The sequence below is a fragment of the Homo sapiens genome, chromosome 11, assembly GCF_000001405.40.
Source record: "Homo sapiens chromosome 11, GRCh38.p14 Primary Assembly".
Taxonomy (NCBI): domain Eukaryota; kingdom Metazoa; phylum Chordata; class Mammalia; order Primates; family Hominidae; genus Homo; species Homo sapiens.
Genome location: NC_000011.10, coordinates 116,810,398 through 116,823,497, shown reverse-complemented (window position 1 = coordinate 116,823,497; position 13,100 = coordinate 116,810,398). Strand labels below are relative to the sequence as shown.

Genomic DNA, 13,100 nt, shown 5'->3' with positions numbered 1-13,100 from the left:
TTCTAACTATCGCCTGAGCCCTGATCTGCTGTCAGCTTCCACGTAGTCTCAGGGTCACAAAAGTCCAAGAGGCCTCTTGGGAATGTGTCACCTTCCAGCGTGGAGTCACACTGAGGAAGGAGGAGGGGAGGGCAGCCAGGGGGGTGGCGATAGGGAGAGAGTTTAAATGTCTGGCTGGCTCTGAGCTTCAGTCAGTTCCCACTGCAGCGCAGGTGAGCTCTCCTGAGGACCTCTCTGTCAGCTCCCCTGATTGTAGGGAGGATCCAGTGTGGCAAGAAACTCCTCCAGCCCAGCAAGCAGCTCAGGATGTTCCTGAAGGCCGTGGTCCTGACCCTGGCCCTGGTGGCTGTCGCCGGTGAGTAGAAGCTGTCTTTGGATGGCACTCCTGGGCTGCTGCTCTGAGTAGTGCAGGATGGAGGCTGAGCCAAAGCAAAAGGACACTTCTGAGTGCCCATCAGCCCCCAGCTGGACATGAGGTCTGCCTGGCTGCCAAGTGGCTCACAGGAGAGCTGGCCCAGTCCCAGTGGTGGGCCCATTGGCATTGGTGCTATACCAGTTTCACATATCCCTGTGGCTTCCAAAAAGCTAAGCTCAGACAGGGAAAATGGCAGGTTGAGGCACCCCCACCATCATCCAGTCTGCAGCTCAGAGCTGGAGCAGAGGGGCCACACAGGAGACGGGGCCTCATGAATTGCTCTCTGTTACCACCCAGGAGCCAGGGCTGAGGTCAGTGCTGACCAGGTGGCCACGGTGATGTGGGACTACTTCAGCCAGCTGAGCAACAATGCCAAGGAGGCCGTGGAACATCTCCAGAAATCTGAACTCACCCAGCAACTCAAGTAAGAGGGACTACAGTGTGCGGTGGTGACGGGGAATTCTTAAAGGCCATGCAATGTACTGGCAAGGGTTGAGCTTAGAGACAGGAGCCCTGAGCTTAGGATACCCACTGCCCTGCCACTAACTGGCCGGGCCTCTGAACCTAGGATCCACATATGTAAACCGGAAGTTTGGACCGAATAATCCCTGCCATGTCCTTTTGCTTTGACGTTCTAGAGTTTGACAAATGGCCACATCCTATCATTCAGGCTCATGGAAGAGAGGGAGGGAGGAAAATGTCACGTGAGCTGATTTCTAATACGTTTCAGAAAGACAGGCCCCAGTGGAATCAAGGGGAGGGAGGTGGGAATATTTGGGAGGCCCCTGGGCACAGGCAAGGAAAGCAGCACCTTGTGCCACTGGAAGACCCCAGCAGAGGTCAAGAAGACAACATTGTGTTACACAATGTGATCCTATGGCCCAGAACACTCCCTCTGGGAAGGACCTCAAAGTCCCACCCTCTGCAGACAAGGAGGGGAAAGCAAACTGCTGGAGGTGACATGGTGGGTAGATTCTGAGACAAACTATGTGGGAGATCCTGAGATAGAAATTCAGCATCGTAACTTAGTCTGTGACACCCATCCTCTCCAATCTGCACCACCATAGGGAGGGTGAACTCGGTACCTCTGAGCACTCACCTGTCCTAGCACGTGTGCATAAGGCGAGTGGTATACAAGCAGACAAAGTCTTGCCGTGTAAATGCCAAATGTAACGTGGCCTCCTTGTGCCCTTCCCCACAGTGCCCTCTTCCAGGACAAACTTGGAGAAGTGAACACTTACGCAGGTGACCTGCAGAAGAAGCTGGTGCCCTTTGCCACCGAGCTGCATGAACGCCTGGCCAAGGACTCGGAGAAACTGAAGGAGGAGATTGGGAAGGAGCTGGAGGAGCTGAGGGCCCGGCTGCTGCCCCATGCCAATGAGGTGAGCCAGAAGATCGGGGACAACCTGCGAGAGCTTCAGCAGCGCCTGGAGCCCTACGCGGACCAGCTGCGCACCCAGGTCAGCACGCAGGCCGAGCAGCTGCGGCGCCAGCTGACCCCCTACGCACAGCGCATGGAGAGAGTGCTGCGGGAGAACGCCGACAGCCTGCAGGCCTCGCTGAGGCCCCACGCCGACGAGCTCAAGGCCAAGATCGACCAGAACGTGGAGGAGCTCAAGGGACGCCTTACGCCCTACGCTGACGAATTCAAAGTCAAGATTGACCAGACCGTGGAGGAGCTGCGCCGCAGCCTGGCTCCCTATGCTCAGGACACGCAGGAGAAGCTCAACCACCAGCTTGAGGGCCTGACCTTCCAGATGAAGAAGAACGCCGAGGAGCTCAAGGCCAGGATCTCGGCCAGTGCCGAGGAGCTGCGGCAGAGGCTGGCGCCCTTGGCCGAGGACGTGCGTGGCAACCTGAGGGGCAACACCGAGGGGCTGCAGAAGTCACTGGCAGAGCTGGGTGGGCACCTGGACCAGCAGGTGGAGGAGTTCCGACGCCGGGTGGAGCCCTACGGGGAAAACTTCAACAAAGCCCTGGTGCAGCAGATGGAACAGCTCAGGCAGAAACTGGGCCCCCATGCGGGGGACGTGGAAGGCCACTTGAGCTTCCTGGAGAAGGACCTGAGGGACAAGGTCAACTCCTTCTTCAGCACCTTCAAGGAGAAAGAGAGCCAGGACAAGACTCTCTCCCTCCCTGAGCTGGAGCAACAGCAGGAACAGCAGCAGGAGCAGCAGCAGGAGCAGGTGCAGATGCTGGCCCCTTTGGAGAGCTGAGCTGCCCCTGGTGCACTGGCCCCACCCTCGTGGACACCTGCCCTGCCCTGCCACCTGTCTGTCTGTCTGTCCCAAAGAAGTTCTGGTATGAACTTGAGGACACATGTCCAGTGGGAGGTGAGACCACCTCTCAATATTCAATAAAGCTGCTGAGAATCTAGCCTCAACTGGTTGCCGGATGAATCCTCCTTGCAGCTGGGGAGGTGGGGAGGTAACCATGACTGGGCAGAGCTTAGCAGCGGCCTGGCAGGAGACACCCAGGATTGGGGAGATGAGACTGCAGGAGAGGTAAGGGCCTGGTGGACTGGAGGCGAGTACATGGGGAGTCCTCTAAGGGGAGGCAGAAAAAGATGTCACACATTATCCCAAGACAAAATATGCAACCTACTTATATTCATTTAGCCAACAAATATGCATTGAATGCCTCCGATGCGCCAGTCATTATTCTAGGCACCGGACAACCAGCAAACAGCTTTTGTGCAGCCATGTGCCCGACTCTGCCTCACACTGAGGGGGACACCTGGAGGCGAGCAGAACAGGGTCCCTGGCCCTGGGGGGCTCACAGTACACTGGGGGAGATGGTTCCTCCTTGCACGAGATCTTCAGTGCCTTTAACTTATTCATGTAGTGTCATTTAACCCACCCCACCCCAGTTCCATTATGAAAGCGATTCATGCTTATTTCAGAACTTTCTTGACTGCTAAACCTGTGGTCTCCATCCAGAATTGGGGATTGAGGCTTGGGGACCGAGACGAGTCTGGGGAGGAGGGGCAGAGCAGGTGCTGGAGCCTGCGGGGCCCTGGTCTGCTCTGTCCAGGGGCCTCCTGCCAGGTGGCCTGCCAGTTTGGGGCTGAGTTTGCAGCCACTGGGGTTAGGGGCAGAGAGTCAGGGGGCCTGAGCAGTCTCATCAGCACAGCCAGCTGTGGGCAGCTGCAGCCTTGGAGTGGTCTTTCACCCCACCCTTAGAGACTCGAAAACCTCACAAGGAAAGAGCCAGTTCAAGCGTTTGTCTCAAACGACTCCACAGCCTGTTACCCGTGGACCCCAGCCCTGCGAGTCTAGCCACCTCCCTTTCCTCGCCACAGGGGGATGCAGGCCCTTCAGGGCTTTCCTGGAAGAGGCCTGGAACATGCTAAGGAGGAGGGGGAAGTCCCCTTGGAGGGTGTCCTGGGGCCTCCTCCTTCCCTCTCAAGGTGCCCTCAGGGTAGTGGCCCCCAGCATGGTCTGGCCCAGGCCTATACCCCTCTGGCCCCTGGTGCTGGCCTGGTGGGAGGGATGTATGCTTGGGAATCAGACAAGCCTAGGTTTGAATCCTGGCTTTTTGACCGACTACCGGGTGATGTGGGGCGAATAATTGAGCTTCTTTTGGAAGACATGGGTAATGACAATCCTCTGCTTAGAGAGGAGTTGTGCTGAAGGTTTGATGGAGCAACGGAGTCAAGCACTTAACATCAGGCACAGAATAACCGTGCAATAGCTGGTGCTGCAGTAAATGTGACTTCCTCATCCCGCTCACCTCCAGGCCACACTCTATTAATGAGACCGCCACAGCTGGCCAAGGGTAGACCCCCGGGTCTCCCCTGCCCCAGCTGCTCTCGCTCCTGCATACCAGGCCAGTAAGGCTGCTGCGGCCACTTTGATACCTACCCCCACTAGAAGCACAGGAACCTATGGGGAAACACCTTGACAAACCCACCAGGCACCTGGAGGTTTACTGGATGGCTTTAGGAAAGGGCCAATGAGGCCAAACAGAGCAACGAGTCACCAAAAGGAAGTGAGATGCAGGGTGGGCCGGGTTCCAAGAGGGTCTGGAAGCTTCTGAGATGCTCTCAGACCTCACCTGAGGGCTGCCTGGTTTAGTGCTGACTCCAGAACCCCTGGGGGCCTCAGTGTCTCCCAGAACTTGGTTCTTAATATGAACCCTGGGCCGGGCGCGGTGGCTCATGCCTGTAATCCCAGCACTTTGGGAGGCCGAGGTGGGTGGATCATGAGGTGAAGAGATCAAGACCATCCTGGCCAACATGGTGAAACTCCGTCTCTACTAAAAATACAAAAAATTAGCTGGGCGTGGTGGTGGGCTCCTGTAATCCCAGCTACTTGGGAGGCTGAAGCAGGAGAATCGCTTGAACCCAGGAGGCGGAGGTTGCAGTGAGCCAAGATCGCGCCATTGCACCACTCCAGCCTGGGCAAAAAGAGAGAAACTCTGTCTCAAAAAAAAAAAAAAAAAAAAAAAAAATATATATATATATATATATATACACACACACATATATATTCATATATAATTCATATATATATTCATATATAATTCATATATATATTCATATATATTCATATATAATTCATATATATATTCATATATATTCATATATATTCATATATAATTCATATATAAATTCATATATATTCATATATATATTCATATATAAATTCATATATATTCATATATAAATTCATATATATTCATATATATATTCATATATATATTCATATATATTCATATATATATTCATATATAATTCATATATATATTCATATATATATTCATATATAAATTCATATATAATTCATATATATATTCATATAGATATTCATATATAATTCATATAGATATTCATAGATATTCATATATATTCATATAGATATTCATATATTCATATATATTCATATATTCATGTATATTCATATAGATATTCATATATAGATATTCATAGATATTCATATATAGATATTCATATAGATATTCATATATAGATATTCATATAGATATTCATGTATAGATATTCATATATATATATTCATATCTATATGAATATAGATATGAATATATCTATATATGAATCCTGGATTAGACCCGTGCACCTCTCCCACCACCCTTAGGGCCATCCTGCAGGTCTCTGAGGGTCCTGCCACAGTCCTCGTCCTCCTGGATGAGGAATGCCTTCTCTTTCCTGTACCAAGATGTCTCATCAATCCCCTGGGTCTGGCAGAGGTCTCTTGGTAGTAACTTTGCTTTTGGCTGCTGCAGTGAACTGAATGTTTGCGTCCCCCTAAATTCCTATGTTGCAATTCTAATCTGTAAGGTGATGGCATTAGGAGAGAAGGCATTTGGGAGGTGATCAGGTCATGAAGGGGGAGCCCTCATGAATGAGATTAGTGTCCTTATAAAAGAGGCCCCACAGAAATCCCTTGCCCCTTCCACGTGCGAGGACACAGCGAGAAGGTGCCATTTATGAACCAGGAAGTGGGCCCTCACCAGACACGGGATATGCTGGTGCCTTGCTCTTAGACTTCCCAGCCTCCAGGACTATGAGGAATAAATGTCTGTTGTTTGTAATCCACCCAGTTTTTGGTGTCTCGTTATAGAAGCCCAAAAGATCTAAGACACTTTCCCAGCCTCTGAAGCTCTCCTGTTTTGTTTCGAAAGTGTCTCGCTGATGAGTTTTGGTGGGAGTCAGAGGCTGCCTCCATTACAGACACTAACAACTCCAGTCGCCTGCCTTCTAGCCTCGCTTACCTCCAGCATGGGACATGGGACCTATGCTCAGCAAATCAGATGTAATTGCCCCAGACTGGTGTAAAGAAACAGAGACAGTGGAGAATCTTTTCTGGGGTGGGCAGGAACAGTGCGGCAGCAACAGGCAGCTTGCGGCCAGGCTAGAGCCTCAGGCCAGGGACCAGGCGTGGCAGTGGCTGGTGGGCAAACTGGGCTGTCCCCATCCTGGCTCAGTGGTGACAGCACAGCCGTCCCCATCACTCTAGTTCTGTGGCATGAGCATGGCCATGTTTCTCCCTCAGCTCCCCTTATTCTTGTTTATTTTCCAAACCAAGTACTCCAGCTTTCCTAGACATTTCCTTGAAATTCCTGGAAATATGTCAGTAAGTTCATCTTCTGATTATGTCTTCCAGAGTAGGTTTCTGTGGCTAGCAATTAAAAACCTTGATTGAGGCCAGGCGTGATGGATCACGCCTGTAATCCCAGCACTTTGGGAGACTGAGGTGGGTGAATCACCTGAGATAGGGAGTTCGAGACCAGCCTGACCAACATGGTGAAACCCCCGTCTCTACTAAAAATACAAAAATTAACTAGGTGTGGTGGCACACGCCTGTAATCCCAGCTACTCAGGAGGCTGAGGCAGGAAAATTGCTTGAACCCAGGAGGTGGAGGTTGCAGTGAGCTGAGATCAGGCCATTGCACTCCAGCCTGGGTGAAAGAGCAAGACTCTGTCTCAAAAACAAACAAACACACACACATCACTTTGATTGACACACCCCACACACCCCTTCCCTCTTAGGGATGTTTCTCTTGCTTTGGGCCTTGGAAGACACACCCTCATCTCTGGCCTGTTCCAGTTGGTCAATTGGTTTGTCTGAGATACACTTATTAGTCCTCATTAGGGTTGGTCCCATCTTCCAAGGAAAGCAGCCTTCCTCCTGTTCTGAGCTAGCAGGTGGACTTAGTCCCCCTGTGGCCAGTCAGTCCTCTGCTCCTCTCCAGCGGCTGAGCTGACTGGGGACCTGGGCAACAGCCTCTACCTGCCCTTCTCAGAGATTCTCTAACAGCTGGTCTCAGATCTCTCATGAGGTCCTGAGTTCAAGCAAAACACTCTGGTTTGGTTTGGGGAATCTGTTTATTTATGGGAAGATGTCCAAGATATTTTATGAAAAAAAAAAAAGCAAGGTTTCAACTATTATGTACTTTACAACCCGGTCAAGGAACACACATACATATTGGTATGTGAACGTGTAAGGAAGTGAAAATCCTGTTAGCTTAACAGTTAGACCTAGAATACCTCTGAAAGAGAGAATGTCATTGACAGTGCATGCTAGCTGTTGACCAGGACACCCAGAGGAACTGGCTGGAAAGAGACCACAAGGCAGAGAGATGGAGTCAATTGTTCCGTGCATTCCCTGCACTGGCATTTGAGGTGGTAATGAAGAGTAGGAAAGGAGGGGAGGTCACAGAAGGGAAAACAGGGAATACATGAGGAGGTGAAAGCCCCCTACAAATGATGGCCAATAAGAAATGCCCAGTGGCAACGGTTGTAGAGCTTTTCAATGCAAGGATGGCAATTCATTGCTGACTGCAATGCTGGTAGTGTGAGGTGCTTTTAAAAACCACCTTATATTACCATATTGGCTCATATAATTCTCATGATCGACCATCACATCAAAGACACAATAGATGAGGAAGAGGCACTTCAGAATGGTGAGGTACATTACCTAGCAAGTGGTGGAATGGGATTTTTTTTTTTTTTTTTTTTTTTTTTTTTTTACCAGCGCTTTGGGAGGCCAAGGCGGGTGGATCACTTGAGGTCAGGAGTTCAAGACCAGCCTGGCCAACATGGCGAAACCCCCTCCTCTATTAAAAATACAAAAATTGGCTGGGCTTTGTGGTGCGTGCTTGCAATCTCAGCTACTAGGGAGGCTGAGGCAGGAGAATCGCCTGAACTCGGGAGACGGAGATTTCAGTGAGCCGAGATCATGCCACTGCCAGCCTGGGTGACAGAGTGAGACTCTGTCTCCAAAAAAAAAAAAAAGAAGAGAAAGAAAAAAATATGCCATTTTAGGCCAGGTGTGGTGGCTCACACCTGTAATCCCAGCACTTTGGGAGGCTGAGACAGGTGGATTGCTTGAGCCTAGGAGTTCGAGACCAGCCTGGCAACATGGCGAAAACTTGTCTCTACAAAAAATACAAAAATTAGCCAAGTGTGGTGGTGCACACCTGTGGTCCAAGCTACTCGAGAGACTGAGGTGGGAGGATTGCTTGAGCCCAGGAGGTTGAGGCTGGGGTGAGTTGAGATCATGCCACTGCAGTCCAGCCTGGGCAACAGAGGAAGACCCTGTCTCAAGAAAAAAAAAAAAAAGAAGAAGAAGAAAAGAAAAAAATGCCACCACTTTAGTATTACTTTTATAACATAAAATTTACCATTTAAACTATTTATAGGTGTTCAAGTCAGTGGCATTAATTACATTTACAATGTTGTGCAACCACCGCCACCACTATTTCTGAAAATCTTTTCATCACCCCAAACAGAAAACTCTATCCATTAAGCAATTGTGAAAACTGCCGCTATGAATGGGGGTGTACACATATCTTTCCAGTCCTTGCTCTCAATTCTTCTGAGCAAATATCCAGAAGTGGAATTGCTGGGTCACACGGTAATTCTATATTTAAATTTTGGAGGAACCGCCAAACTGTTTTTTTATAGTAGTGGCACCATTTCACATTCCCACTGGTGACGCCCAGGGTTCCAATTTCTTCACAGCCTCTCCAACGCTTGTTGTTTTCTGTTATTTTTTGGTTTTGTTTTATTTTGTTTTTAACAATAGTCATCCTGAGAGTAGTACTTTTAAAACCAGAAATAAGTAAGAAAAGAAATATTCCCCAGAGCTTCTCCAGGCTACAGTCTATGCCACCAGGAAAGACTGAATCATTGAGACCCATAGGAGAGCGTGTGCTGGGAGGTCCCTGTGGGCACCAGGGAGGTGTGTTTGAACTCCAGCCCAGCCCACATTAGCTTACCCAACAGTCCCTCAGAGCCAGCACAATTTCAGGCCATTATCTCCCTGGTCACCACTGGCTCCTCAGGTGACTTGGAAGTAGATGACTCCTCTGTGGGCCTGGGTTAGTGCCTCAAAGGCATGCTGACCAGCACTGGTTTGGGCCAGGCTGAGATGCTAGCCACACTCCTATGCCCATCCCCAAGTTCAAAGGTCAGAAGTCCTCTGAGAACATCCAGGGTCACTACCCCTGAGGTCTCTGGTGTACTACGTGGCCCTGATTAGGGCAAAGGGAAGTGATCTGAGGGCCACTCTCTTCCTGTACATACAGGGCCTTGCTGCTCTTGAGGGATTGTCCTGGCAGGATCAAAAGCAGCTCCTGCATGGGGACGCCGTGTCCTCCTGCTGTTATCATAGTATGCCCTGTGCTCCCAGGAGGAGGCTGAGGTATGTCCTGGGGACAGAAACAACAAGCTTAGGGTTATTTGGGCACTCCCTTGTCTCCTGTCTGAGAGCGTGCAGGGTGGAGTCATGCTATCTTGCTGTGTGATGACAAGTAGCTGACAATGCAGGGGCACAATAAAAACCCCCGAATGGCCCACATCTGAGGAGCGAGGGTTTGGTGAGCTGCTGGTTCTGAGATAATGGATTGGTGATATGGGAACAAAAGACCTAGGACCTGGAATCATAAGATCACAGGGCATTAGGGTTGGAGGGAACAACCTTGTCTCTCAGCCCTAATTCCTTTGATATCATTTAAGGAATGATCTTAACTCTAGGCTAACAGCCCTCGAGCTCAGGCACACCATTTGTTTGTTCATCATTGTATTTGCAGGATGTGGTAGCTAGCCCTCACAATGGTGGCTGATGTGTGATCAATAGGCTATGTCATGGTATTTCACTTCTAAGTCTAGATCATAAAGGGCATTGTGGCACCTACCTTGATTTCTCTTGGATCACTCATTCTGAGGGAAGATAGCTGCCATGTTGGGAGGACGTGCAAGCAGCCCTGTGAAGAGGTCAACACAGGGGGGAACTGAAGCCCCTTCCAAACAGCTAGCACCAACTTGCCAGCCATGTAAAGTGATTCACCTTGGAAACAGATCCTCCAGCCTCAGCCAAGCCTTCAGATGCAACCTCATGACAGACTCTGAACCAGAAACACACAGCCAAGCTGCTGACCCACAGACTTTGTGAGAGATCATAAACATTTACTGTTGTTCTAAGACACTGTTTTAGGGTGCTTTGTTGTACAACAATAGCTTACTGAAAATACAGAGAGCCTAGCACAGTGCCTGCATGTGGTCATCACTCAATGGTTGAGCGAGTGAATCTTGCTTAGTATTGAACACTCCCACTGACAGCTAACTGTACCATCTCTCAAAACAATTCATTCTATCTTTGGGCAATTCTGTTAAAGATTATTAGAATTAAATTGGATCTTTCTCAATACAGCTTCCACATCTTGGTCTTATTTTTACTGCTCTTTCAAAAATCATTAAACTGGAATCTTTCTTAACATAGCTTCTACACTTTGATCTTACTTTTTTTCTCTTTCGAACCATAGAATAATTATTCCTTTATACATGCATTCTACGTACAGGAAATCTTCCCACAGACTCATTCATGGAACCCCAAACCATATGGAGAAAATTGAGCCAGAGATGTGTTATACTTCACAGCTGCCTTGGGTTGAAGAATCTTGGCTGGTTTCTGAAAGGGCAGAAGTCTTGTCTATGTTTATTCTTGAACAGTCAGTGCCTAGCATGATGACTAGAACTTAGTAGGTATTCAATAAATATTTGTTGACTGAATGAATTTAATAAATCTTTTTGTCTTGCTGAGTTGTATGAGATATATATATATTTTTATATTTATATGTATTTATATCTATATTTATATATAAATATATATATATCTCATACAACTCAGCAAGACAAAAAGATTTAAATATTTAATATATTTAAATATTTAATATATTTAATATATTTATATTATTTAAAATTATATTATTTAAAATATTTAATATATTTATATTAAATCCCAAAGTGCTGGGATTACAGGCGTGAGCCACTGCGCCCGGCGTGGATCCTCTCATTTTCTTATCTTTGTTCTTACTTCAATCTCTACATGCTCTCCCTTTCTGAACTATTTCTTTACTCTCTATTCAGTTTTTATTTCTACTATCTTTTTTTTAATTTCTAAGAGTTTTTGTTATTGTTATTCTGTGAAGGTCTTTTTATACTATCCTGTTCTTGTTTAATCAATGTAATCTTTTCATTCTCTGATGTTATTAATGGCATTTTTCAATGTTCTTCTTTCTGTATATTCTCAGTTTTCTCTAACTTCCTTTTTAAATATTTGTTTGTTTTGGGTCTCTATCTTTCATGTTAGAATCTTTCCTCAAATGACTGGTAATCCTTGGTTGCTTAAGTTTAAGAGTGGGAGATTTGGGCTGGGAGCGGTGGCTCACGCCTGTAATCCCAGCACTTTGGGAGGCCAAGGTGGGTGGATCACGAGGTCAGGAGATCGAGACCATCCTGGCTAACATGGTGAAACTCTGTCTCTACTAAATATGCAAAAAATTAGCCAGGCGTGGTGGCAGGTGCCTGTAGTCCCAGTTACTCAGGAGGCTGAGGCAGGAGAATGGCGTGAACCCGGGAGGCAGAGCTTGCAGTGAGCCGAGATCGCACCACTGCACTCCAGCCTGGGTGACAGAGCGAGACTCTGTCTCAAAAAGAAAAAAGAAAAGAATGGGAGATTTTAAAGGTGATTTGAAGCTCCAATACGTGCGTAGTACTTATTGACTATGAATGTCACTGCAGGGTGATCCACTGAGATGTTTAGCTGGGGAACCCCATTGTGAAAATCTTTGGGTCTTACCTCTTGAGCTGGACATATTCCCCTAAGAAATGTCTTTCACTCTTCTGCCTGGAGGGTAAAGGCCTGAATACAGTGTCCCTGGGGCCAAGTGGAAGAAGCAGGAGGGTGATTCAGCATTTCAGAGGGTATACTTTGATTTAATCCTCTTGCTAGTACAGGTCTCCTGCCCTCAACTCTGCCTGACGTTCAAGAGAATAAACTTCCAGTCTTCTACTAAGGTGAGACAGGGAAGCTAAAGCTCTAACTGCTCCTTAAATAGTTTCAACCAATCTTTCATGTTTTATGACAGCCTCCTCCGTCACCTCTACTTTCAGTAGAAACTGGTGTCCCAATTCAGGACAGTCATATATGGCTGTGCAAGCTGTGCACTGTATCATTCTGAGGCCACCTCCCTCACAGGGTAGACATGACAGATTTGTATATTTATCATGTCAAATTTCTGGCAGACGGCTGTAGAGTGTCTTGAGAAAGGGGAGGCTGTTTCTATTGCACACACAGGTGCAGCGTGGGCTGGCAGGAGCCCTACTATCATCTCTTCGCCTTTTGAGAATCCAGCGGTGTAAGTCAGGCTGGAACTCATCTTTTCTCACTGCCAGCTCATGACCAGCATTCCCAAGGCCGGCTAAATCAGTCACAACTGGTCCATTTGCTTTCTAACATCCAAAATTGTGCTGTGGTCTTTTCTTCCTTTTCCCGATCCCGTCTCTTTTTTTTTTTTTTTTTTTTTTGTTTTTTGAGACAGGGTCTCACTCTGTCGCCCAGGCTGGAGTTCAGTGGCACAATCAGGGCTCACGGCAGCTTCTACCTCCCAGGCTCAAGTGATCCTCACACCTCAGCCCCCTGAGTAGCTGGAACTACAGGTCTGCCATGCCTGGCTGATTTTTTGTATTTTTTCAGTAGAGACAGGGTTTCGCCATGTTGCCCAGGCTAGTCTCAAACTCCTGGACTCAAGCGATCTGCCCACCTTGGCCTCCCAAAGTGCTAGGATTACAGGCATAAGCCACAGTGCCTGGCTACATCTTTTCCCAAACATTTCTTCATTATAGTTTCAGGAGGATTTCAGGAAAAAAAAGTGAAATTAG

At 47.9% G+C, this 13,100-nt stretch overlaps 1 protein-coding gene and 1 long non-coding RNA gene across 2 annotated transcripts; both read left to right on the top strand.

Annotated features, from left to right (window-relative positions):
* APOA4 (apolipoprotein A4) lies at nt 194–2,798 on the top strand. The gene is made up of 3 exons (NM_000482.4): nt 194–355; nt 713–839; nt 1,617–2,798. The coding sequence occupies exons 1-3, from the start codon at nt 307–309 to the stop codon at nt 2,629–2,631; spliced, it is 1,191 nt and encodes a 396-aa protein (NP_000473.2). The 5' UTR covers nt 194–306; the 3' UTR covers nt 2,632–2,798.
* Nucleotides 9,316–10,589, top strand: LNC-RHL1 (lncRNA regulator of hepatic lineages 1). The gene is made up of 2 exons (XR_007062898.1): nt 9,316–9,582; nt 10,045–10,589. It is a non-coding gene; the product is annotated as a lncRNA regulator of hepatic lineages 1 (long non-coding RNA).
* The last annotated feature ends 2,511 nt before the right edge of the window (nt 10,590–13,100 follow it).

Bases quoted from the DNA above. Each gene is read 5' to 3' on its own strand.
- APOA4 (NM_000482.4), top strand. From the start codon at position 307: ATGTTCCTGAAGGCCGTGGTCCTGACCCTGGCCCTGGTGGCTGTCGCC. The intron at 356-712 runs GTGAGTAGAAGC...GTTACCACCCAG, and splicing joins GGCCCTGGTGGCTGTCGCCG to GAGCCAGGGCTGAGGTCAGT. The intron at 840-1,616 runs GTAAGAGGGACT...CCTTCCCCACAG, and splicing joins GAACTCACCCAGCAACTCAA to TGCCCTCTTCCAGGACAAAC.